We start from the raw sequence: 25,669 nt of genomic DNA on the forward strand, positions 1-25,669 counted from the left end.
GTACCCAGACATTCCTTTCTATTGATAATAACTCTTTCAACCAATTGCCAATTGGAAAATCTAATCTACCTATGACCTGGAAGCTCCCACTTCAAGTCATGCTGCCTTTCTGGACTGAACCAATGTACATCTTACATGTATGGATTGATGTCTCATATCTCCTTAAAATGTATAAAGCTGAGCTGTACCCCACCACCTTGGGCACATGTCAGGATCTCCTGAGGATGTGTCATGAGTGTGTCCTTAACCTTGGCAAAAATCAACTTTCTAAACTGATTCAGACCTGTCTCAGGTACTTTTGGTTTACATTAATATGAGTGCTACCTCATAGAGGAGCAAATCGAGACCCAGGGAGGCTATGTCATAGCTTACCTAGGGAGAACTAGAAGATGATGAAGGCAGGAGTCAAACTCACATAGTCTCACTCCAGAGTCTGTATTGCTCATTACTATGGTCAAATGCCTGCAATGAAGGCAATAGCTTGTGTATTCTGGCCTCCTCTTCTGCCATCCTGAAACTCCAAATTATGCCATCATGTGGACTCACAAAAGATTGTGTTCAGGCTTCCACTGTATGTCTCATGTGTTTTGGAGTTTGTGCCCTCTACTCATCTGGGAGCCTGGTAATGGCTGGGACTTTTTTTCATTTCCACTCCCTCAGTTCTTAGTGCAGTGCCTGGGTAGGTGTTTACTAAATCTTGTTAAGTGAATATGTGTAAAGACGAAACAGCCTAATCTCACAAAGTTTTACAAATAAGAATAAATCATGTGAGTTCTTTGCAAAGAAGAATATTGCAGTATGACAGGCTGATTTGGTAATAACTCAGCTAGCAGAGACCTGCTTAAACAGTTACCCAAGCCCGAGAAGGAGCAATTTTGTGCTGTCTTATGATAGTCTGAATGGACTTAGGGGGATACCAGTTTTCTGTTTTGCTCTTGGCCCCTTGCTCATAAAAAGTACTACTGCAGGTTGGGCTGCTGCAGAAGCAGGCTCTGAGATAGAATCTAGTGTGCAGGATATTTATAAGGAGGGTCCTTGGGATCTATGCATTCCACAGGAAGAGACTAAGGCAGAACTGGGTAGAGGAAGAAGTTGAAATGTGGTGCAGGCCCAGTGACGGCCTGGCTGAGCTCATGAGAGCTCTTGAGCTAGAATGGTCTTGCTAGAGTTGAGCCAGATGGCAAGGTCTTCTTACTCCAAAGCTATTAGTCACTAGATATGGGCTGCCCAGGAGGGGCTTGATCATGAGCAAGGCAGCTTGCCTGAAGGGATGGCAGCTGAAGGCTGTCTGTTGACAGACTTCCAGCAGCTGGGACAACAAGCTCTTATTTCAGGGAGGTCTGGGTGGTGTATCTCAGTGTCCCACACATGAACATTACTTTGGAATGAGTGTTTCCACAGCACAGGAGCCCAGCATGGTGAGTATTCTCATTATTACAGAATATTACTTTCATCTCTTGAGCCGGATTTTCTTTTATGACTCTTGGCAGATGCCCAAAGATCCTATGTCTGTGTAGCATCTTTTTGAAAGGTTTTTTCATACATAATATCTCTTATATGAGATTCCTTTCTAAGAACACTCTACCTCCCAGAGTCTGGCTTTAAATTTGTTTTCTCATGTTTCCTTCATATCTCAGAAGAAAAAGTTCCCTCCCCCTTTCTCAGGTTAATTTTTCTTCTATTACTTTGACTTGCCCCTTCTTGATCTCCTACAAAACCTAGTTCTTTCAGTGAGTCTCAAGTCCCCTCAATGTCTTTCCTCCCCTATGCAGGGTAAGCCCTAGAATATTATTGTATGGGAAATCGGGTCTTAGTAAGAGAGTAAACACAATGATGTGTGGGCATAGAAGCAGGGAGGCCAGGAATGAGATGCAGCTCTGCTAATGAAATACAATTTAACACACTATAAGCAGGGATTCTTCTAGGAAGTTTTGATGAATAATTCTTAGTTGCTTATTCCTCTGACGAGCCCCTGAGGGTTGTATCAGTGGAAGGTCTCATGGTGAAGTAGGAGGAATGTGGTTTTTGGAGTTATTCAGGACTGATTTTGACTTATAGCCAAGTCAACTTGCTAGCTGTGTAACCCCTCAGTTTAATCAGTTTAGTTACCTTCTCTTAGCTTTAGTTTCCTCATCTGGAACACATGGCTTATGAAGTCCTCCCTCAAAGGGTTGCTGTGAAGGGGACACTCAATGAGATGACACAGGTGAAGACTTGCATAGCATCTGGCACGTGGTATACTCTGTCACGCACACGCTGCTTCCCCACTGAGGCAGTTGCACTGGGAGTCCAGCTGGCCAGGTGCCACCTCTCCTCTGGCTCATTCACGCATGTGGGCCCCACTACTTTTTGATTTTACATTTAAACCCAGTGCTCTGAATTCCTGTCTTGCCTTTATTGGTGAGATATCTCCATCTCAGTTACAGCTGAGCAGGTGTATTATGAGCTGAGTGAATGCAAGATTGAACAAATAAAAAATACAACATGTAAGTGAACTCAAAAAAGGCTTTTGGAGTACCCTGTAGTTCAAATGGTTTGTGCTTATTCCATTCACAGATGGCACATTCTATCTGCAATGACTACCAAGCTAAGTATGGCAAGATGGTTTCTTAGTATGATAAGAGACTAATAGGACCCTACTTCTCATTTGTTAACCCCTCACAGTGTACCAATATTAAACAAGGTATTTTAAAAAGATCTGTTCCTGTCTTTGTGGTTAATTTTTAAGAGTTAAAATTCTTCTTGTTCTATGAGCCCCTGAAAATTCATTTTAAATCAACAGGCAAAGAGCCAGCTACGAGGAAGGGCAGAGCAAAAATAAACTTTATCCAGCAGTCATGTCTTAGGGAAAGAATTGGACAAACCTCTTCCTTGTTTCAGTAGAAACTTCAATACGTGTAACAGAATTAAGGAACAGCTAGATTGATGCTTGTAGAGGCAAAAAGATATAGAGAGTATATATATTTAATCAGACTAATCAAGCACACATCTGTAAGTGAATTTAAAAAATGACTTTGCTTTGAGGAAGTTGACTCTCATTTTGGTTTGTTTCATGATTGACTGAATTATTCTCTGTCTTGCATGTCACCTTATTTGACTTGACACTAATCTGACAGAGGGATGTACAGGAAAATCTGCAGGCCTGGGTGTCAGCCCTGAGTCAGGACTCTGACTCTGTTGCTTCTTAGCTGTGGGACCATGGGTAAGTTACTCAATCCTCTGACCTTCAGTTCCTTCAATAGTAAAATGAGGTTTTAATACTTACTTCTACTATAGTGTGTATAAAATGTAATACATATAAAGTGCCAGGAGTGAAGTAGGTATTAAAAATGCTATAGTTCCTCTCTCCTTGCCTGCTAATTTCCAAAATATCCTATGGCTTTTAGTCATATGATAAATTTTGGTTGCTACCATTTTTCCCTATTAGGCACTATTTACTGATACAGAATACTCTATACTTAGTGCTGTTGTCATAAGCAAGTCTCTAGACAAAGAGAGGAAATTGCTGAGGCAGTTTAGCTTGACAGGTTGACAGAGCCAGGCTCTGACACTTATCAAATGTTTGACCTTGGGCAATTAGTTAAACATTCTGTGCCTCAGTTTCCTCCTCTCTAATATGTGGATATTAAACCTCATTCCTAGGTTTGTGTTGAGGATTAAACGAGTTAATCTATTTGAAGCCATTAGCATGGTGCCTAGCAATCGTAGGAACAATGTTGATGTCAGCTATTGAAACTGCTGCCCCTCGTTGCTATGTTTGTGGCTGCCTTCCTACTCACAGCTCTCATCTTCAGGAACTGCTTCCACCCACTAATCGCCTCCCCCAGCGATGTTTGCATTACATAAATGGTGTATCCATCCAAGCCCCAACTGTTTAGATCAGGAGTGGACGTCTCATCTGAGCTGGAAAAATCAGAACCCTCTCTTTGGTTTGGGAACAGCGAGTAATTGAGAGCAGCCAGCTGTGGGCTGTGGAGCTGGAAGGTTGCATAGACTCAGGTCTGAGGCTATTATCTGGTCCTTGATGGATGAATGGAGAAAGCTTTCTGCTAAGAGAATCAGGAAAGTGGGGACAGATATAAGAGAAAACCAGAGAGGAGAAAGTTTATGGCCCGTAAGAAATGATGAGAGGTCCTGGGAAGATGAATTTTCCAGTTCCTGAGACCAGGCTGTGCTGAGCACTCTGCACTTACACTCTTGAGATGCCCACATTCTTACATGATGACGCTCCAATTCCCAACCCCTTCCCGACCGGCTTAGGCAACTCTCTCTTCTGTGCAGGCAAAGAAGCTGTGATGAAAACACTGAACTTCAGCAGGAAGTGATCTACATCCTTGGTCTACAAATGTTTTTGCTCACATAGTTGCAGAATTTTTAGGAACTATGTACCCCTACACATTTTCAAGTCGATATCTAAAATTTTTATCTTAAGTTTAAATGTCATAGCCCATAGAATCTAATAGTCCATTGATTGCAAGATATATTTCTTTCACAGTATTATGAACAGATAAGAAAAAATAAATGCTTACCATTTTTATAAGATACACCCCAATTTAACAGATGTTAAAATGAAAAATATGTCCCTTGGAATCACTGAAATGTGAACATTAAGGATATAATCCTTATACATTATAAATATTGACATTAAAAAAAGCCTGCTACATTATTCTTTTAACTGTGTCCAAAGAATCTAAATACTATAAAGATTTAATATTCACATGATCCAGTTAGAAAATATACTAGATGAGCATGATGTACTCTGACATTTGGAAAATTTAAATCTTTTTCCCCCTTGAATCTAGATTTTCAACCTATTACCACACAAGATTTAATCTAAATGTATATAAGGTATTTATGTAAAAATATAGTAGTCTTTAAACCTTTTACTTATTCCCCTATCATACATTTTTTGTATACATACAAGAAAAATATGCATATGAACTGGAAATTTGCTTTATTCTCTGTATTCATAAGGCTGTAAATCTGCACTATCCCAATATGGTAGCCACTAGCACCTGTTGCTATCTAAATCTAAATGAACAAAAATGAAAAAGTTAAAAACTTAGTTTCCCCATATTAGTCACAAGAGCCCGATAGCCACAGTGGCTAGTCAGTAGTTGATGCGTGGATACAGATAGAAAACGTTAGTATTGATGCAGGACATTCTATTGAACAGAGCTGCTCTAAAGGTTAAAAATTTCTTTCAGATACACTTATTATTTTACTTCTTATAGGCATTCAATTGATCAAAACAACCTAAACATATAACATAATTTTATAAATAATGTAATTGACACAAAGAGAAAACATTTTAAGGATTTGTGGCTTCTCATCAAATAAATGGAGCAGAATTTTTGTTTTGTTTTTTAAGTAGTTTCATGTGTTGTGTGACTTATTTCTAGAATAAGATAGAGGCCAACATCAATTTTATTTCTATTTTTTAGTTTTATAAATGGAAACACTGAGAAATTTTCTTTCTTTCTTTTTTTTTGGAGATGGGAGTCTCGCTCTGTCACCCAGGCTGGAGTGCAATGGCACCATCTTGGCTCACTGCACCCTCCATCTCCCAGGTTCAAGCGATTCTCCTGCCTCAGTCTCCCAAGTAGCTGGGATTACAGGCTTGCACCATCATGCCCGGCTAATTTTTGTATTTTCAGTAGAGACGAGGTTTCACCATGTTGGCCAGGCTGGTCTTGAACTCCTTACCTCAGGTGATCTGTCTGCCTTGGCCTCCCAAAGTGCTGGGATTACAGGCATGAGCCACTGCACCTGAGAAGTTTTCTTCATACAAATAAGGAGATAATGAAGAACTTTATCACATTTCACTTCTTTGAACTTTTCCTGAGCCAAAAAAAAAAAAAATCACATAATGATCTATCATCAAAATTTATATTTAAGGATAATTTAGCTGACAACTTTATTAGGTACTTCAGTTCTGTTCAAATCAAGGATTGGAAACCACTTTGCTTGCAAAATAATTTGGCATTATAGCCATCTGCTGTCTCAATTTCTGGTAAGTCCCGTATATCAAAAACATACCAAGATTTATTAAATGATCATCAGTTGAACTTTTTGAGACAGGTCCTCCCTTTGTTGCCTAGGCTGAAGTGCAGTGGCATAGTTATAATTCATTACAGCCTTGAATTCCTGTGGTCAAGTGATCCTTTCCCCTCAGCCTTCCAAGTAGCTAGGGCTACAGGCGCATGCCACCACACCCAGCCAATTGTTTTAAATTTATATTTTATTTTTAGTAGAGATGAGGTCTCACGATGTTGCCCGGCTGGTCTCTTGAACTCCTGGGCTCAAGCTATCCTTTTTTTGGCCTCCCAAAGTGCTGGGATTACAGATGTGAGCCATCGAGTCATCATACCTGGCCTAAACTTTTATTCTTTCACTTAGAGGCACTCTATTTCACTATATATATCTATATATATATTTTAAGTTAGGAATATATTACTGGTTTTATTATATTTTTGCCAATACTACCTTTTTGTGCTAAATGTTCTTTTCTTATGCTTTAAATACATATTTTTTTTTCCAGAAGCCGAAGCTACAAACTCATTTAATTATGGGAAATGTTGGTCATGAACTCTAATTGGCAAAGTCCAAATTAACATTCCAACAAATTAGCCAAATTAGAATTACTTCCTGTCAAAAAAAGTATGACTTCAATTTTCAACAAACATGTTAATATGTTTTATCAAATATTATAAGATCTAAAGAGAAATTATGAAATGCATCTTGTAAGACAAGTCAGGTCAAGATTAAAATGATGACAAATATAATTAGCTCATTTTTATAATGTAAATACAGAATTATAAATATGTCTTTTAAAAAAAAAAAAAAAAAAGAATCTCGCTTTGTTGCCCAGGCTGGAGTGCAGTGGCATGATCTCGGCTCACTGCAACCTCCACCTCCTGGGTTCAAGCGATTCTTCTGCCTCAGTCTCCTGAGTAGCTGGGATTACAGGGGCCTGCCACCACACACAGCTAATTTTTGTATTTTTAGTAGAGATGGGGTTTCACTATATTGGCCAGGCTGGTCTTGAACTCCTGACCTCATGATCCGCCCACCTTGGCCTCCCAAAGTGCTGGGATTACAGGCCATGAGCCACCACGCCCAGCTTTATGCTGTTCTAATTGATAATAATGCAAGGTAATTTGTAGGTAAGATAATAAGTTATATATGACACAAGGAGTTCCAAAAATTTATTGGTAATTGTCATAACTTTTGGTAAACTTATGTGCATGTGTGTCTCAAACTCTGACTTTTAGGAGAAAAGGTAGAATCATGTATCAAAAAATAGCTGTATTAATTTCATTAGACATTCACCCTTATATTTAATGAGAGAGAAAAGTATATACCAGTAAAAGCTAATTATTTGGCAGCTAGCATATAATTAATTTTTTGGAAATATGAGATAGAAAATATTTAACATTAGATGAAATAAGACAAAAATTGACCATAGTTGGGATATATAGCTCATGATATAATTTGATAAAATACATTTTAGATATCTTACTAAGCATATACATCCAATGTAAAAAAATTATTAAAATTATCCAAGAGTTTTCTAGTGTATTTTGAAGATCATAGTAATGCAGAAAATACTCCATTTACATTTGAAAGAATAAACACAGAAGTCTATACTATTTTGACTATTTGTGTTTTTCTTTTTAGGGTCGTGACATTCCAGGGAAGACTTTGAGAATAGCTGATTATTATAACTTTTATTTAAATATGGGATGGGGGAAAAGCTCTTTCTGGAGTTCAGTATTTTTCTGTGCTCTTTGGTTTGGGGCCCTGGGACTCTTCCTTGGAAATAAGGTATTCTGACCATAGCTGGGGGACAGAAGAAGAAAAGTAATAAAAAGTCATTATTCTATCAAACTGTTCCACCATAGATCTGAGTTTAGAACATCCAGGTGTGGGCCAAAATGCCCCTAGAGCTGGGGAAGACTGGAGTCCTAGGGGTTTCTGGTGCCCAAAGAATGTATCCCCTTTGTTTGGTGCTCTGGGAAAGCCTTATCACTGCTACTAGGATCCAGAGTAAGATTCGAGATGTGTGAGCAGTTGGCCTCTCTTTTATACAGACCAAAGGGCTTTGGGAGATACAGGCATGTTCTCATTCTTGGAGCAAGTTAAATTTTAGGAAAAAGTACAGGCAGAAGTTGAAGATCTGGAAAAAAAATATTCTCTAAGAACTACATGTGATCATGTAGCTTTTGGGAAGTGTATCTGTCTGAAAATACTAGTCCACATGTGCATTTCCAAAAAAATGAGATTTTTCTTTTTTTTACAAACTATATTATTAAAACTGTTAGGACAGCATTGAAGGGACTTTCAAAAAAGGAAAAAATTACAACTTCACAGGCCTTAAACAACTATTCACATTGTCTCCTGGGCTTCCATCATTCATGTACACACTTCTGAATAATGATGGTCTTAGAAATCTGAGATTTTGTATTCTGATTTTCCTATTGTCTTTTTGACATAATGCTGAGAAATATTCCAAGTTGTACTCAGAGCACATAAAACCACTATCAATGATAGTCCATGTGTCTATGCTAATAAGACCTTGTATTTGTTTTGTATCATAGCTGTAACAAATTATCACAAAATTAGTGGTTTAAAACACCACACATTTTTTATCTTATAGTTCTGAAGATCAGAAGTCCGAAAATCAAGGTGTCAGCAGGACTGTGTTCCTTCTGGAGGCTCTAGGGGAGAATCGTTTTTCAGCTTCTAGAAGCCACTTGCATTCCTTAGCTCATGGCACCTCCTTTCATTGTCAAAGCCAGTAGGGCACCATTTTCAAATCTCTCTTCGATCCATCTGATTCTTCTATCTGCCTCTTTTTTATTCATAAGAACCCTTGTGACTGCATTGATTTCACCTGGATAGTCCAGGCTCCTCTCCCCATCTCAAAGCCAGCTGATTAGCAACCTTAATTCCATCTACAGTCCTGTAGCCTAACATACTGAAAGGTTCCAAGGATTAGAACACAGACATCTTTGGGAAGCCATTATCTACCTCCTACAAACCCTAAAATCAGCTTAAGTGTCACTAAATTCCCCTTTTATTTCTGGGAAAATAAAAGAGGACCATTTGGTGTTGTTATCATTCCATGTTGTTTGCCTGCCAACAATGCACTGAGCTGTACACAGAAACATAATTTAGGAGCAGTCTTTGCTCAATGTGCTAAAAAAATATGATTATTGTTAGTATTTTCATTATTTAACATTTATTGAGCACCAACCATGCACTAAGTACTCTTCAAAACATACAATTAGTCATGGTTGATGCCCAAAGGGCTTACTATTTCAAATTAGAAAGACACATCTAAAATTAGATGCTAACATTTACAAATAACAATGCTTTGTGAAAGAACTGAATATCCCAGACAATTCAAATATAGTGCTTCATATTATGTGTTCTCCAAACTCATCTGTATTCCCATGAGACCTAGAAACGTATACTCACCAGAAACTTTATGTAGACAGGAAAGAAATTATTGTATACATGCTACTTATAAGCAATGTTTTAAAAGTTTGGGACAGCTGCATTGTGCTCTTATTTCAGATCTTGTGAGGGATTAGATCTTGTGAGCGATAGTCTTTTTGTGTTCTATGGTTAATAGGACTCAGCTAGAAGCAGAAAATATCTCATAAACGATGCACAGTATAAAATTTAATTGCTACTGGAGAAAGAAATTTTCAAAAACTGCTGTTATGAATGACAAGCCAAGCTCCTACAGACCCATGATCATTTGGGAGACCGTTTCACATTGTACCTCAAGAGCCAGGAAGCCATTTCTACAGTTTAGAAAATTGACCCAACCTTCATGTTAATGCCTTATGTTGGCTGGTTGAAGTATAAACATGTATGTACTACTTGCTCTGAGTTTACACTGCTTCTAATGAGTTTCCCTGGCAGTAACATGTTCCATGTACTATTTACAGGGAAGAGGATTGGCAGGGGGGAATTCAGTTTATGCACTTGCCCTTTTTTTGGAAAATGGAAATATATTTACAATAGCATTTAATATGCTGTTGTAGTTTCTTTGATGAATTCTAGGGACAAAATCACCTCATTAATTTAATGATGAACAACTGAGACTCTGGTAAGGTGAATTAAGGTCATAAAACTAATTGACATCAGAGCCAGAACTAGAATCATATCACCTGTGACCCTCAGTGGACGTTTTACCATTTCACCTGATGCTCACTGTCTGCCTCTTACCCTGACTCTCCCTAGGTCTCCTCCTCCCTCCACCGCTATATACCCTTTGCCTATAACTCTTTAGGAGAAGAGAGTTTCAGTAATGCCATGTGTCTGTTATCATTGTTTTTTTCCCAGATGTTTTGTTCTAAGTTGTCAAGTAGACTGTGGAAACATCAACCCACAGCTGCAAGAAATAGCCCAAGTCATAATGTTCCCCAAGAACAATGAGTGACATGACTGTCCCCAGTCACAATGGTTGATGAAGATTTGAGCTTGCCCGGATGAGCCAGCCAGTTAGCACTCTGGGCACAGGCATGGGTGGAGGCCTCAGCCTGTTCTCACTCCAGAGGATGGGGCTGCCATGTTAAGCAGCTCCACCAGAACAGGCCATCAACGTGTATTTTTGGTGTGTGGATGTGTGGGACAGATTGTTATCTAAATTAAATAACTTAGTGTTCATCCAACCATCTTTCCAGAATGAGAGTAGCAGATGGAAAGGCTGGAATGTGGCTCTTTGTTTCTAGGGACCAGTGCCCTTGTTGAAAGGACTCTCCAGAACCAGTTTCAATCTTTCTATGCTTTCACCACAGGCTGAGCATGAACTCCACCTTATCAAGTCAACCTTTAATTTCCTCAAATGTAAAATATAGGTGATTTTGTATCTACCTAATAGTTCCATGAGAGAATACAGGAAAAGCATCTATAAAAAAGATCAGACATATATTAGTGTTCAATAAATGATCCTATTCTTATTATTATTCCTGTGATATATATCAAATAGAGCAACTCATTAAGTGCCTGGTCCGTAGAGGGAGCAATACAGGGCAATGACTAAGATATAGGCTTTGTCTTCAAGAAGCTCTCAGTCAAGCTGCAGAGGCTCTATTATAAAAGATAAAGATCATTTGGAAACACATTAGAAGAAGCTGTCAAAGTAGGTGGTAAATATCTGGGGAGGTAGGAGGAAAGAAAGGATCAAGCAAGGAAAAGAACCAATGGCCTACAGAGAGATGGTATCTCGTATGCATCTCCAATGCCTAAAACAGCTCATGATCCTCTAAGAGTTTAGTGGCATGTAGATTCTCAATTGCATAATTTTTTTTTTTACTGTGAGCCAAGTGGAACAACTAGGTCTAGTTTTATTAACTTACTATGTCATGGAGAATGAAGGAAAATCACTTTGTACCATGTCCCCACTGCCTATAAGTCAGGTCTAAAATAGGTTTTTGAAGAAGGTAGGTAGTTCCAGGCAGTCACTAAACATATTTTGCTGGATCCTCTAAGGAAATTTTGTTAACTGACAAAAATATAATTTGGGTCACATAGGCAATTCCAAATTTTCTACTAGCCACATCAAAAAAAGGAAAAACAAGCAGGTGAAATAAAATCTAATAATACATTTTATTTAACTCAATACATTTTAAGAATATTATAATTTTAACATGTAATCAATACAAAAACTATCAATGAGATTTTGCTTTTTTTGTACTAAGTCTTTGAAATCCAGTGAGCAAACTACACTTACAGCATCTCTCAATTTATACTAGCCACATTTTAAGGGTTCAATAACCGTATGTAACTAGTGGCTACCATATTGGACAAGTGCAAATCTAAAAGTCTTAGTGAAATTAGAGATTAAAAGAAAAACATACTTGAAAATATTTCAGAAAATAAATTCAGATACATAGGTTGGAGGATGCTGTACAGCACACGGTTTTCTGATGGCAGAGTGCACTGAGTTTGTTTCAGTAACCGCTGCTCCGACAACTTTTAAAGAATAAGGGCAAACACAAATCCAGTCTGAGGACTTGCTTGACATGGTGATTAATTAAGACATATGGGTGAGCATAAAGCAAGATTTCCTCCTACAATCCGTCTTCTACTGACCTTCATTAAGGACAAAGAACATTTTAATGGATGAAGCCTTCACCTTTAATAAGCCTTTACTCTGTTATTTCCTATGGAACCATGCATTAGATTAACAAAACAATGGTAGCTGGCTAATGACAGAGCTGTGGTCAGAACCCCAGGGATAGCCTATGTCACTATTAGCGCCTCAAGGCAAAATGTCACTTGGGCCACCTCTTCCAATCCAATCAAGAAGACTTTGACCTATAATTGCATTCAGAGAGTTCAAGAGCTCAAGAGGTTACAGATGGGGTGAGCGGGCCCATGCTTTGCATCATCAGATCAGCTTGAGGAAAGAATGTATGAGAGCATAAACAGGGACCAATATGGGCAAGGGGAAGGCATATTTGTTTCCTGTTTGCAAATGATATTTGGAAACAAAACAAATATTCCTGTTTATCATTGACTACTTAGGAGAGGTATATTTGTTTATTGTTTATATACATTTTTATTTTGGAATAATTTTAGATTTACAAAAAAGTTCCAAAGATAATGCAGAGAAACACTGTACCTTTCATCCAATTTCCCTTTACATAGGAAGTGTCATACATATGTCAAAACCAAGAAATCAACATTGGTAACATTACTACTAACTAAATTCCAGCTTTTATATTGCATTTGTTTTTTTCTATCTGCAGCTTTAAATCTCAGTAGGAAGAATTGTATAAAACAATAAGATATCAAAGCAATTTTAAACAGATAACCTCTATCTTGTAGAGAGTAGGGATAGAGATGAAAGATAGCATGAGGCAAAGTGGTGATATTAATCCAGCAACTTACTTTTCCTACCATGGATTTTTAGATGAACTTTGATCATTCTGATGCAGATCAAAGGGTACCTCCTCTGCGAAGACTTCCCTGGTCTGACACCAAAAATGCTGATATTGGAGTTGTCAGCCGAAAGAAAGGGACCAGAATATTCTCAAGGAGCAATTTTTAAAGCTTCCCCTCCCCTACTCCTTGCTACCTTCCAACTCATGTTACTGAATGTGCTTCCAGAAAGCATCTCTGAAGGTTTTATGCATGAAGAGTTTGTGCTGGGTCTTTTGCCTTTTGAATGATAGGAATTGCTGAAGCTATATATCCCTGAAAATGTCCAGTTTAGGAATCATCAGGGATAACACATCTTAGCACATTTAGGTAAAGCTATTCATATTCAAAAATGAGTTTGGGGGGAATTGGGCTTACTCAGTTTACCTCTGACCAAATTTAACAAATAGGAGGAGCTGCCACAAATTTGGCACTGAGCTGGCTATGGCTTCACTGAGGATCACTCCTTTCTGAACACTGACACTCTAAATGATACTGTAGATGTTTCTCTCTACTAAACTCTAAGTTCCTGATGATAGGGACCGTGAGAAATGTGTCCTAGTCTTTCTTAACCTTGGACCCTCATTGCCTGAAACAATCCCTAGAATTTAACAGATGCTCAATAAATGTTCTTGGGCCAAAAATGGACAAATATCTATTGCATGGATAGATGGTTGAATGAATGCATAACTGATGAGTAATTCCTCATCTCTGCCTTTAGGGGCTTACTCTCTGGAAAGAGATAGCGAGAAACACCCAGGTGATTATATTGCACGGTGGAATGAGGTAGTAAGTGCTGAGAGAGGTGAACATGCTAAAGAAAATGCTGTTTAGGTTCCAAGAAGGTGAGAACTACAGCCCCTTGGAAAATAAGCAGAGGTAAGCTGTACTTGAGATTGTCCAGGAAGGATGCATAGGATGTTGTAATCAGGGGTAGGATGGGAAATAAATAAGAACATTCCTGTCTGAGGGAACAGAGCACACTAACCCAGCAAGGTGGGAAATAAGGAACGCTTAGCATTTAGTTTAGAAAGCTTATGTGGCATGTGGAAGTAAGGGAAAATAAATGAAATTCATACGCTGAATTTCCACATTATGCATATCCTTGAATGCCTCTGTTTGCCAATTTGGAAGCGATGACAGACACAGATAAATCATGAAGAGAAGCTGTCTTGGGATGGAGGTAAGTGTGTTCAAGTACATCTTCCAAGAACATATTAGGTCTGAGAAAAATATTAGAACTGCAGGAAAGAAAAAAGCATTGTGATAATATGATGATACCGTTTAGTCATTAAGTTCTATGGTGACAAACCAGAGCTTTCCTATGTTTGTAATGTAGGAGGCTATGCTGTGATTAAATCATTATCTGTCCAGCCAATAAAATACAAAGAAAGCCAGTAAAGCAATTTTGTTAAAGAAGCAATTGAAGGGCCGGGCACGGTGGCTCATACCTGTAATCCCAGCATTTTGGGACGCTGAGGTGGGCGGACTGCCTGAGCTCAGGAGTTCAAGACCAGCCTGGACAACACGGTGAAACCCTGTCTCTCCTAAAATACAAAAAAAATTTGCCAGACATGACGGCATGCGCCTGTAATCCCAGCTACTTGAAGGCTGAGGCAGGAGAATCATTTAACCCTGGGAAGTGGAGGTTGCAGTGAGCCAGAATCTCCCCACTGCACTTCAGACTGGGCGACAGAGCAAGACTCGATCTCTAAAAAAAACAAACAACAACAAGCAATTGAAATAGCAGTTTTTGAACCTAATACTTTTTCTCTCCATGTTCCTTTAACAGTTGCATGATCAAGCTGACTTGAGGGTTCTGAACAGAAGCTGACCAGTCTACTGCACATTGTAAAGAAGTTAAAAAGCTGGATTGAATTGCAAAATGTACTACTCAAGGAGTCCAAAGAATAAAATATGAGCAGCTTGTGGGGGTAAAGCATTCGTAGGTATAGTATAGAAAAGGTCCATGAGCATCATGTCAGTGTCTTTTAACTTTCCATTGCAGTGGAATAATCCTTTATGCGTTTATGAAAATCTTTGGAAAAGAAGCCACGTCACTGGGTGGTTCCTACTTATTTTCCTCTCCAGGGGCCTTTGCTGCTCTTGCTGGGTGCCTCAGTTGCTAGCTTTGTGAGTAGTAATGCCCCACTGTTCCCAGCTCCTTGCTTGCTGGGTGTGAGGACAGAGGCTATCATAGCAATAATTGCTGGATGTTCTGTGTTTGCACATCTGTGGTGGCCTTCTGAATTGAGTTTCGTGCCAGAGCCAGGCAGCGCCTCCCTACCCCACCCTCCCACTGCCCCTTTATTTTCTGTGTCACACCATTAAAAGAAATGAGATTATGGCACAAATCATCATTCATATGACTCTAGCATAGAAGGTTAGCGAGATATTGCAGAGATAATTCCATAGCCACCATGGCCCCTGACAATAATTACAATGTGGCCACAGGGGATTACCTTCTAATAGGCTTTTGTTCACTCAATTCAGAGTCTGTTGTGTGCTAGAGTTTGGATAATTAAAGTTGTGTCTCAGAAGCCACATGTGGTAGCTCATAATTATGTAGTCGAGTCTAACAGAAAACTGAGGTGACTGACACCCGGCCAGAGTGAAGAACAGGGGTCCTTGGTGACAACGAAGAAAGAAACCAGTCCCCTCATTTGGGGACAGGGGATTGGTGTTCACTCCATAGCATCAACTGCTTTATTTATTTTAAACAAAAATGACTAATTATAGCCCTTTCTGGTCCAATCCCTCACTCTCCACGGGGACTTTTCCTAACCCTTTCCTATTGCTCCAACAAAAGAATGGTAGCTGGTCTGAGCAATGAAGAAAATATACATGGCTTATTTAAACAGCATAATGGTTTAATTATTTAATCATTTGCATGTTGAGTGATTTGCATAAAAGCAGGAAAAGGCCCATGTTGGAATTTGGCCTGTATCTCCCCCTGTTCCTCACTGGAGAAAAGATTCTGAAACTTGGCCTCGTTGAAGCCCTTGAATTTTAGAAAAAAAATGTGAACTTTGAAAAACTTAGATTTGTTATTTCAAGGATGCAATATTTGAAAAGAAAACAAATCCAAAGACTATATCCCATTGGGCCATATTTCTCAAGTCAGTCGATGGCTGTCAAAGAAGCAAAGTAGTTAATTTTCCCTGTAAAGTATGCCCTTGAAAAGCCATTCTCCTAAGTATAGGCAGAATGCTTTGCTAAGTGGGTGCCTTTTCAGCATTCTAAGACTGGGTCCCACATTTTCTAACGATTCATTGTGAAAGAGATGGCTATTTTACCATTCTGCTTAAAATCTGAAACTTTAGTTCAGCACATCTCTTATCTTAAATCCTTGGAATGTTTAGAAGATTCTTGCAACGCACTTCTAAAAGGCTCTGAATTTCTGAGCCTTAAAAGTAAAATTCTGCTTTGTTCCAACATAAGACATTTTTCCTCCAAGTTTTGCCAGGTAGAGAACAAACCCCTTCATTTTTTTCAACACTGTTGTCTCTTTTAAAGCACAGCAAATTTATTCTTCACCCAATGTGGAAACAACAATTGATATTCAAAACGCTACCCTTTCCTAAGGCTTTGCCTTCATGAAAATGAAACATATTTCGTACTGAGCACCATATGGTGTTTGTGAAGAGTGGACACGCAGATGCCTCCTAATTAAAGCATTAAAGTTTGTCATGAGAAATGGCAGCACAGATGATTTTGGCTGGGCGTGTGGGAGGGGGTAGGCAGGAAGGGGTCCCAGAGAGTGGATGAAGTGGTAGGCTGACTCCCAGTTTTTTCAAACACACGCTCTGATTGGTCCTCAGGGAGCAGATAATGGCAAGAGGCAGTTAATTTGAAGATAATTGAGAGATCTCTTTCCTGTCTTCACACAATAAAAAAAGGTGTCGGGCCTCAGCTGGCAGTTGCACTCTGGCAGGAAGAAAAGGGCTCGAATTGGTCTGTGAAAGCTGCCACCTCCTTTTCACTTCTCACACAAAGCTGGGAAACCCCTTTCCTATCCTACACCCCTCCTTCCCCCATGCCCCCAGCCGTGCACCCATGTTTATTGTTTCAACACATCAGACCATAAATAAGTTTCCAGAGGGAGAGAATATTGGAGGACAAGGGAAGTTCTATTCTTCTGGAAAACATGAGCTGTGCCTCTATAAACACTACCTCCCAGACAGGCTGAAGAGAAGCATCCCCTCAGATGGGGGTTTACTGTGAGATGATGAACTGGTTTTTTGAGCCACTTTTTCCCCTTTCTCAGCATCTCTGGTACTATGTGCCAAGCTGTTCTCGAACCCATGCAGTCTAGAAACCCGGAGGGACTTTCTCAGGTTAAGGGGAACATTCATCTGCCCACCTCTGTGTAGATGGTAGATAGAAGCTCTTGAGGTGTCATGTGGTAGGAACGGTCTTAAGCTGGGTTCACACTTGCCTCAGCAAGTCACACTGCAAAAGGGAAGAGGTAATCACATGTGAGGGGCTTTTGGTTTGTTTGTTTTTTAAGGAAACTCTCCCTCTGGCCTGCTAAACTTCCCAGCTCCTTTTTTATATTATAGCGCAGCTTGCTTATAAATTCTAGGAAAATCTTAAGTCGGCACTTAAAATAATCTTTTTTAAAAAACACACCCACGTGAAGAATTACTGGAAATTAGGATTACATAAGTGTGAAGAATGTTGCTTTTTCCCTCAGAACTGGGAAACTTAATGTTGACAGGCTAAGGGAAACTTTAAAAAGTGAAAAGAGCTACAGTCATCAGTTTATTCCTTGTCAGTAAAGCCCCGAGAAAATGGATTTGATGGAGTGGGCAGAAAGGCAACATAAAGAGTGGCAGGGGCAATGCTGAATGAGAAAGCCATTCCAGGAAGCTAAATCAGCTAAGGAACAGGATGGTTTGGGGGTAATTAAAGGTAGCTACACAACTGGGTTTGCTAATCTGATTGAAAAAATTTTTCTGAAGTATATTTTTCAGTCATTCTGGTAAGTTAGGTCAAGTAAGTTTTTCTTCTCTCTGAGCAGTAGAGACTGTGATGGCCTCTCCACCAGAGGGCTGCCTTCCAGTAAGTTCCTGGGGAGTACCTTGGAGGTATGAGTCTTGGCCTGTGTTGGCATTTCTGTGTTGTAATTACACAGAATGGGCAGAATGGGAAACCTAATAAAGTGCTGGGACCATTGAAATAAAGAATAAGACTAAAGTTAGAAACTTCTGTTTATCTAATGTTATCATAAAGAAAGCAGAGAGATAAACTCCAAACTTAGAAAAGAGATTTCCAATACATAAACCAACAAGAGTTTAGTATCGAGAATAAAGGATAAAGGTAGGAAATCAATGAGAGAAATATAGCCCAGGAAAAAATCTGGGTAAATGACAGAAATAGACACCTTAGGGTAAAGGAAATGCAAGTGATTAACATATACTTGAAAAATGTATATATAACTGATTAGTAGGCAGGAAATGCAAATTAAAACCCAAATGAGATCCTATTTTGCATCTAAGAGATTGGGAAACAATTGGGAAGTTTGATAATATCTAGTGCTGATGAGGATACAGACAAAGGAATTTCTTATCTGCTCTGGAGCATGTGTATGCATTGGTTCTACAACACCGGGAAATGATTTGGCATTATTAACTAACCCATAACTCTATTGCCGGACATATCCCTTAGGTAACTCCTGGCACATCTACAAGAATGGTCATTTAACACACTAAGACCAAAAATACTATCTGAACAGTTCAAAGGCCATTAATAAGCAAGTCTGTGAATACATTGTGACACTGGAGTACTATACAGCATGAAAAATGAATGAGTTAGGACTATGCACATTATGTAGAATCTCACAAATAATACTGTGGGAAAAATTTTTTTACAAGATTTCATACAGTATGATGCCATTTTCCTAAGCCTAAATCAAACAACTTAAATAATATCTTACTTAAAGATACAGTAGATTCTCATTATTTGTAGTGGTTATATTCTATGAAGTTGCTGCAAACACTGAATTAGCAAAATACTGAAATCTACAACTATATCTCTGTCTATATTTATAAACGCACAGAGTTGGCCCTCTGTATCCATGAGTTCCACATCCCCAGGTTGTACAATCTACAGATTCAACCAACTGAGGACTGAAAATATTTTTAAAAAGTAAAAAATACAACATAAAAGTACATATTTTAAAATACAACTATTTACATAGCACTTGTGTTGTATTAGGTATTATAAGTAACCTAGAGATGATTTAAAGTATATAAAAGCACATGCATAGGTTATATGTAACCACACCACTTTTATACCAGGGACTTAGTCATCTGTGGGGAAGTCCTGGAAGCAATCCTCCATGGATACGGGGAACGAGGGATGACTATACGTGCTCGCATATATCTCACATAGATTATAATCTTAAATCTTAAAAACAGCTCTTCCTGGTAGGTTCTATTTTCCTTATTTTACAAAAAAGAAGATGAGGTTCAGAAGTAAGTGAGTTATCTGAGGCCCCCACTAACAGGTGCGCACCATGCATCTGCCCCAGAATTGAAGCCCTCTTACACAGCACTGCACTGCTCCCGATCTCTATCCTCATCCACTCTTCATAGGAGCTGAAACAAGAAGCCAGAGCATCCCCTTTTTTGAACGCAACTGGGAATGGGAGCCTCACTGGAAACCAGTGAGTGACTCAAATTTTTCATCACTTTGTGCATGTCTGCAAATGACTGCAAATGTGCTGTATTGATTTAGGTGTTACAAATATATTTTAGCTAGTAAGTGAATTTGCAAATACAGAATCTGAGTAATGAGGAGGAACTGTACACAAATATGTGCTAAAACAAAGGTCTGGCTTGGGGGTTAGATGGTGGATTAGAGTCTTACTCCTGTTTCACAATCCCCACTCTCTATCCCTCTCTCTGTATAATGTATGCACATAAACTTGTGTAAGTATATTATCTATAATTGTATATAGATTGTGTATATTATACATATTTGTGTTTGTGTGAGTGTGTATTAGAGAGAAGCAATTCTTTGAAGTCCAGTCACAGTATTTATATTTTACCATTTTAAAACCAAGGTGGCTGTCATCCTGCCAGGGCTGAGGAATGTAAAGGCGGTGTAAAATGAGCCCGCCTCAGGTTCAAGAATCCTCCTTTCTGGTAAGATAACAAATATTGGGATTATTCACATTTAAAAATAATTTAAAAAATTCACAGGATATCCAGAAGTTGAAGAACCTTGCCTTGCAAATTTCACTTTTAAGAGCCTGATATAGTTAGAATTTTGTCAATAATATTCTGGAGTACGTTTCATTATCTATTGAGGTAACTTTCAAAATCGGACAACCAATAAAGTGGTTCTAAGTATTTTGAAATAAGAAAGTGTTCCTTCAGTATTTTTATTTTTTTGAGATGGAGTCTTGCTCTGTTGCCCATGCTGGAGTGCAGTGGCACGATCTTGGCTCACTGCAACCTCCATCTCCTGGGTTCAAGCAATTCTCCTGCCTCAGCCTCCTGAGTAGCTGGGACTACAGGCGTGCACCACCACACCTGGCTACTGTTTGTATTTTTAGTAGAGACAGTTTCACCATGTTGGTCAGGCTGGTCTCAAACTCCTGACCTCAGGCAATCTGCCCGCCTTGGCCTCCCAAAGTGCTGGGATTACAGGCATGAGCCACTGCGCCAGGTCTCCTTCAATCTTTTTTATGTATTTGTAGAATATTTTTAAAAATGGGTTAATGCATCAAAATGTAAAATATGATCCAAATTCCAGGATCATATGTATATACACACACACGCACACACACACAAGTTATCCAAGACTTCTCAGGCCTCACACAAACGTTAAAAACTCAGATTGCACTGGCTCTTTTCCCTACTAATCACCTAGGATACCCAGGTTTCCCCAATATTACCTAAATGCCACTTGGAATCCCCAAGGAGTGTCCAACATGTGCTCACACTCTTGGAGGAGGCTGATGGCCTGCAGGCATCACTGTAGCTTGGGGAGCCCTACTTGGAGTCCTATGTGGTCATAGGTGGCAGGGAGGGAGAACACTGCACTTCTCTGGGATTGTCCCCTGCTAGAGCCTCTGAGTCATGTTTCTGGTGCCCATATCCTACAGAGTTGTTGGAAATCTGTAGCTTTTTCTCTTCATAGGACCTAAAGGTGCACCCAGGGGCTTGAGCTGGGGACAGATTTGTGTGATTGACATGATTCTGGACTCAGGATCACCCAGGTCCCACTAAGGTTTTGTTACCAGATGAGTTAATCGCATCTGGTTCCTTTGTCCCTAAGAGATCTCCCTTAAGATCCAAGAAAACTCTTCAAGACTGGTCCTTCAAACTATCTCAGTAAACAAACACAATATTACATATTTTGACTGTCTACCAGACTGCTGGACATGTCTAGTTATGTCTGAAACTTAGTTGTGAGAACTTTCCAGCCATAAGCCATCTCCTAATAAGCAGAGGTGTGTGTATGTGTGTGTGTGTTCACACGAAAACACAGAGGATATCACTTAGTACTGTGACACCCCTCTCTCAACCTTTTAAATTTTCCCTCTAGTTTCCACCATGTATTACATTTATGAGAAAAATATAATGACCACATACTCCCCAAGAAAATTACAAAGCCCCAGATACAAATAGTTTTCCCTCTCATTACTGTGAAAATAAAGTAAATTATAATTTTCACTTGTTTTTGAGAGGATATTTTAAAACCCATTTCCCATTATCATTAGAATTTGTAGATGATGTGGAACCACCGAATAGTCAATGTGCCTGCAAATGTCAATAGACCTTTCTATAGATCAGCAATTATTAGTTATAAAATAAAATGGAAGTGTATCCCACACTCAATAGCAGTAAAAGACACAAAATGACTAGAAACCCTCAACAAGAAATGTGTGAAACCTAAATGAAATAATACTTTCTTGAGAGAGAAAATAATTGAATATCCCAGGTACTTGATGGCTGAATGGCAATATTGCCTGTCAAAATTATGTCAGTTATTCACAAGTTAACGTGTAGTCATATGACAAGTATGACTAACACCCTAGTGAAGATTTTTGGAAGAAACTGACAAAGTTATTTTAAACTGATCTGCAGGTATAAAAATAGCTAAAAAATGTGGAAAATGAGGACCATTTCTGGCTCCTGTTAAGATGGTGGATTCTCATGGCCTCCTGCCACCCTGCCCAGTAGCAACCCTAGAAAAACTATTGGAAGTAAGAAGAAAGCATGGAACTAAGTGAAAGCAAGACCCCTGTCGGGAGTGAAACCTGTGTGTGTGTGTGTGTGTGTGTGTGTGTGTGTCTTTGTATGTGTGTCTGTGTCTCTGCGTGTGTCTCTGAATGTGCGTGTGTCCTTGTGTGTGTCTGTCTCTATATGTGTGTGTTTCTGTATGTGTCTGTGTGTCTGCATATCTCTATATGTGTGTGGCTGTGTGTCTGTGTGTATGTCTGTATGTGTCTCTGTCTATGTGCTTCTTTGTGTCTCTGAATGTGTGTCTTTGTGTGTCTGTCTATGTGACTGTGTGTCATACAATGTGTCTGAATGTCTGAATGTGTGCCTGTGTGTCTTTGGTGAGTCTGTATGTGTCTGTGTGCATGTGCCTCTGTGTATGTGTGTGCCTGTCTGTGTATGTGTGCCTCTCTGTGTATGTGTGTGCGTCTCTGTGTGTGTGTGTGTGTGTGTGTGTGTAGGTCTGGGGTAGGTGAGATGGTTGCAGGCTGGACACAGAGCAACCAGTGGAAATTGAGAGAGGACAGGTTGGAGAAACAAAATTCTGCTTTCCCATGTGGCCTCTGTATAAACCTTCCCTACCCTAATGCCCTAGAAACAACCTCCACAGCTCAGGGCACTGATGTCCTGGTTATATCAGGGCAGCCACAGCCCTGCTGGGAGGAGCAGTTGATGAAGGACGTTCATGCTTCTCTCCTTTTTTCATATCTCAAAATTTGGTGAATTTCTATATTAAAAAATTTGCCTTCTAACAATGTTACTTCCAAGAGTTTAAAGGAACACAGATAAAGCAGGTCATTGTATACACAGCTTAAAATACATTTATTGGAAAATAAAAATGGTTAAAAGCAACACTTAGCTAAGGATTTAACTCACAAGGTACAGAAAAAGCAATAGAACATTCAAAGAAACAAGAAAAAAAAGATAAATATATAATGTGTAAAATAGTGCATGTATCTGTACCCACACCTGCAAATGACACAGAGGTTAACTAAGTCCAAAGTTATTTCTTTAAAAATATTTGCAATATAGATAGGTTTCTAGAGTGAATAAATCAAGAAAAAATATGCAAGTAAACCAAGTACAGAATGAAAAGGGAGAAATTTCTACAGAAAGCACAAGTTTTTTAAAAAAACAAAATGACTAAATTTGAACTTAGTGAAATGCATAAATTTTTGAAAATATGCCAAAATCAGTATAATAGAAAACTTGCATGAACCAATAAGTATGAAAGAATGAAATATTAAAGTATTAAGAAATGACAGTAAAGCACTTTTCTTTCAGAATCCCCAGTCCAGAGAGCTACACAGTTGATTGCTATTGTATTTTTTAAAACTCAGTTAATTGATGACTTACATAAGTTGTTCCAGCAAGTATTTGCAAAGTACAAAAAATACAAAAAGAACAAAAGTTTTCTAATCTAAACAAAGGTATATATTAATCATAGATTTTTTATTCTGCAATCTTTAATTGAATTTTTATATTGAAATAATTTTAGACACAGAAAGTTTACAAAAACAGAACTGCTTATACTCTTTAGCTAGCTTTCTCAAATGTTAAAAATCTTGCATAATCGTAGTACAATTATAAAAACTAAAACATCCATACAATGCTACTAACTAACCTAAAGATTAAGGGGGACATTATATGTCTTGTTACTGATGTTAACCTTAATCATTTGGAGATGTCTCCCAGATGTCTCCACTGTAAAGCTGCTATCTTTCCCTTTGTAATTAGTAAAGTATTGGGGGAAGATACTTTGAGGTTATGCAAATACTGTTTCTCCTTAAAGTTTTGCCCACTAGTTTTAGCATTCATCGGTTGATCTTGCCTGCAGTAATGATTACTGTGGTATTCTAATGGTGATATTCTATTTCCCTCATTTCTTCTAATATTTATTAGAATTCTAGTTTTTTTAAAAGCCATCTTTTTTCTTCCATGAATTAATTACTTAATATCAGCATGGCCTCATGGACATTTATTTTATTCCATGGGTTATAATCCAATACTGCTGTTAAATATTTTGTTGCTCAAGTTGTTTCAGTTTTGGCCACTGCGGTCTCTTTCAGTTTGGCTCCTGTGCCCTCTGCAACAATGCCCCTATCCTTTCTCCAGAACTTTTATTTTCTGGCATTACAAGATGCTAAAGGCTTTTCTTACATTTTCCCTACTCCAGCTTGTTTTATAAGCCTAATATAATCTTGGTTCCAACAGCAGATAAGAACAACATGGAAAAAGAAACATAGACCTATTTAACTTGTGAATATAGACGCAAAAAAATTCCAAATAAGATAGAAATCCAGCCATGCATAAAAAGTAACATTGTAATCAAGTGTTGTTAATACAAGGAATGCAAGAATGCTTGGCATGAAAAACTCAAATAGTGGTATCATGTAATCCAGCAATCCCACTTCCGGGTACGTATCCAAAAGAAGTGAAATCAGGATCTCAATCTGTTCTCCCATGATCATGGTGGCACTATTCACAATAGCCAAGATACAGAAACAACCCAAGTGTCCACAGACAGATGAATGGATAAAGAAAACATGGTGTATACATATAACGGGAATACTATTCAGTCTTAAAAAAGAAAGTAATCCTGAATTTGTGATGACGTGAATGAATCTGGGGGACATTGCGCTAAGTGAAATGAACCAGTCATTATGCTAAGTGAAATGAACAGAAGGAAAAATGCTGCCTGGTTCCACTCACATGAGTTATCTAAGATAGGCACACTCATAGATGCAAAGGATACAATATGTATGACCAGGAAGTACATAGGAAAGTGTTTAATGTCATTAATCGTAGGGAAATGCAAGTTAAAACCACAATGACATACCATACACCCACTGGAATGTCTACAGTTTTAAAAGACTGACAATGCCAAATGTCAACAAGGCTGTGGAACGCCCCACACATTTATACAATGCTGGTGGCAGCGATGAATCAAGGGTGAGGGGGAGGAAGTGGTCATCCAGAGCAAAGGTTGTTAGGAGGTGGGTGCATTGCCTTCAGAGAATTTAAAAACAATAATAAACCTGATTATAAGTCAGTCTGCTTTTTATTATCAACATATGCTGGCAATTCTAAACAACATTAGTGATAAAATCCTTCTCCCTGAAAAATATCTTTTTGTTGGTCTAAGAGCTAAACAGTTTTTGAGGTTACTCTGGAATTTTAATAATGTATATGTAAGCATCAGATTAGCACATTTTATTATCTGTCCTTTGATAATCACTGTATATTGCACAGAAGTCCAGTTACTCCCAGTTATACAGCCAGTCCCTACACATTCAGATTCAGCTACATGTGTTTAGAGAATGAGCCTCTTATGGTTTGGAATCTTTTCAGCTGCCTTCAGAGCACAATTTTAGTCTGCAGCCCACTACATATGCCTGCATTTAAACAGTAGATTGAAATAAACAATGAAAGCACTGTGAGTGTAAAGTCAAAATAACAGAACTTTAGTTACTTTAATTCTGTCATTCTAT

The 25,669-nt window shown here is 38.7% G+C and overlaps 2 long non-coding RNA genes across 2 annotated transcripts in view, besides 1 other annotated feature; one reads left to right on the forward strand and one right to left on the reverse strand.

Annotated features, from left to right (window-relative positions):
* Positions 1-25,669, reverse strand: part of LINC02122 (long intergenic non-protein coding RNA 2122) — a 68,866-nt gene that overhangs the window by 4,697 nt on the left and 38,500 nt on the right. The gene's annotated exons all lie outside the window — the stretch shown is intronic.
* LOC105379035 (uncharacterized) lies at positions 1,092-15,486 on the forward strand. The gene is made up of 3 exons (XR_948476.3): positions 1,092-1,418; positions 3,117-3,202; positions 14,735-15,486. It is a non-coding gene; the product is annotated as an uncharacterized LOC105379035 (long non-coding RNA).
* Positions 25,072-25,272: a silencer, noted in NCBI's record as "peak5281 fragment used in MPRA reporter construct". NCBI's record gives its function as "represses an SCP1 promoter by STARR-seq MPRAs in K562 erythroleukemia cells {active_cell/tissue: K562}" and the evidence as "EXISTENCE:reporter gene assay evidence [ECO:0000049][PMID:32103011]".

The sequence above is a fragment of the Homo sapiens genome, chromosome 5 (assembly GCF_000001405.40).
Source record: "Homo sapiens chromosome 5, GRCh38.p14 Primary Assembly".
Taxonomy (NCBI): Eukaryota; Metazoa; Chordata; class Mammalia; order Primates; family Hominidae; genus Homo; species Homo sapiens.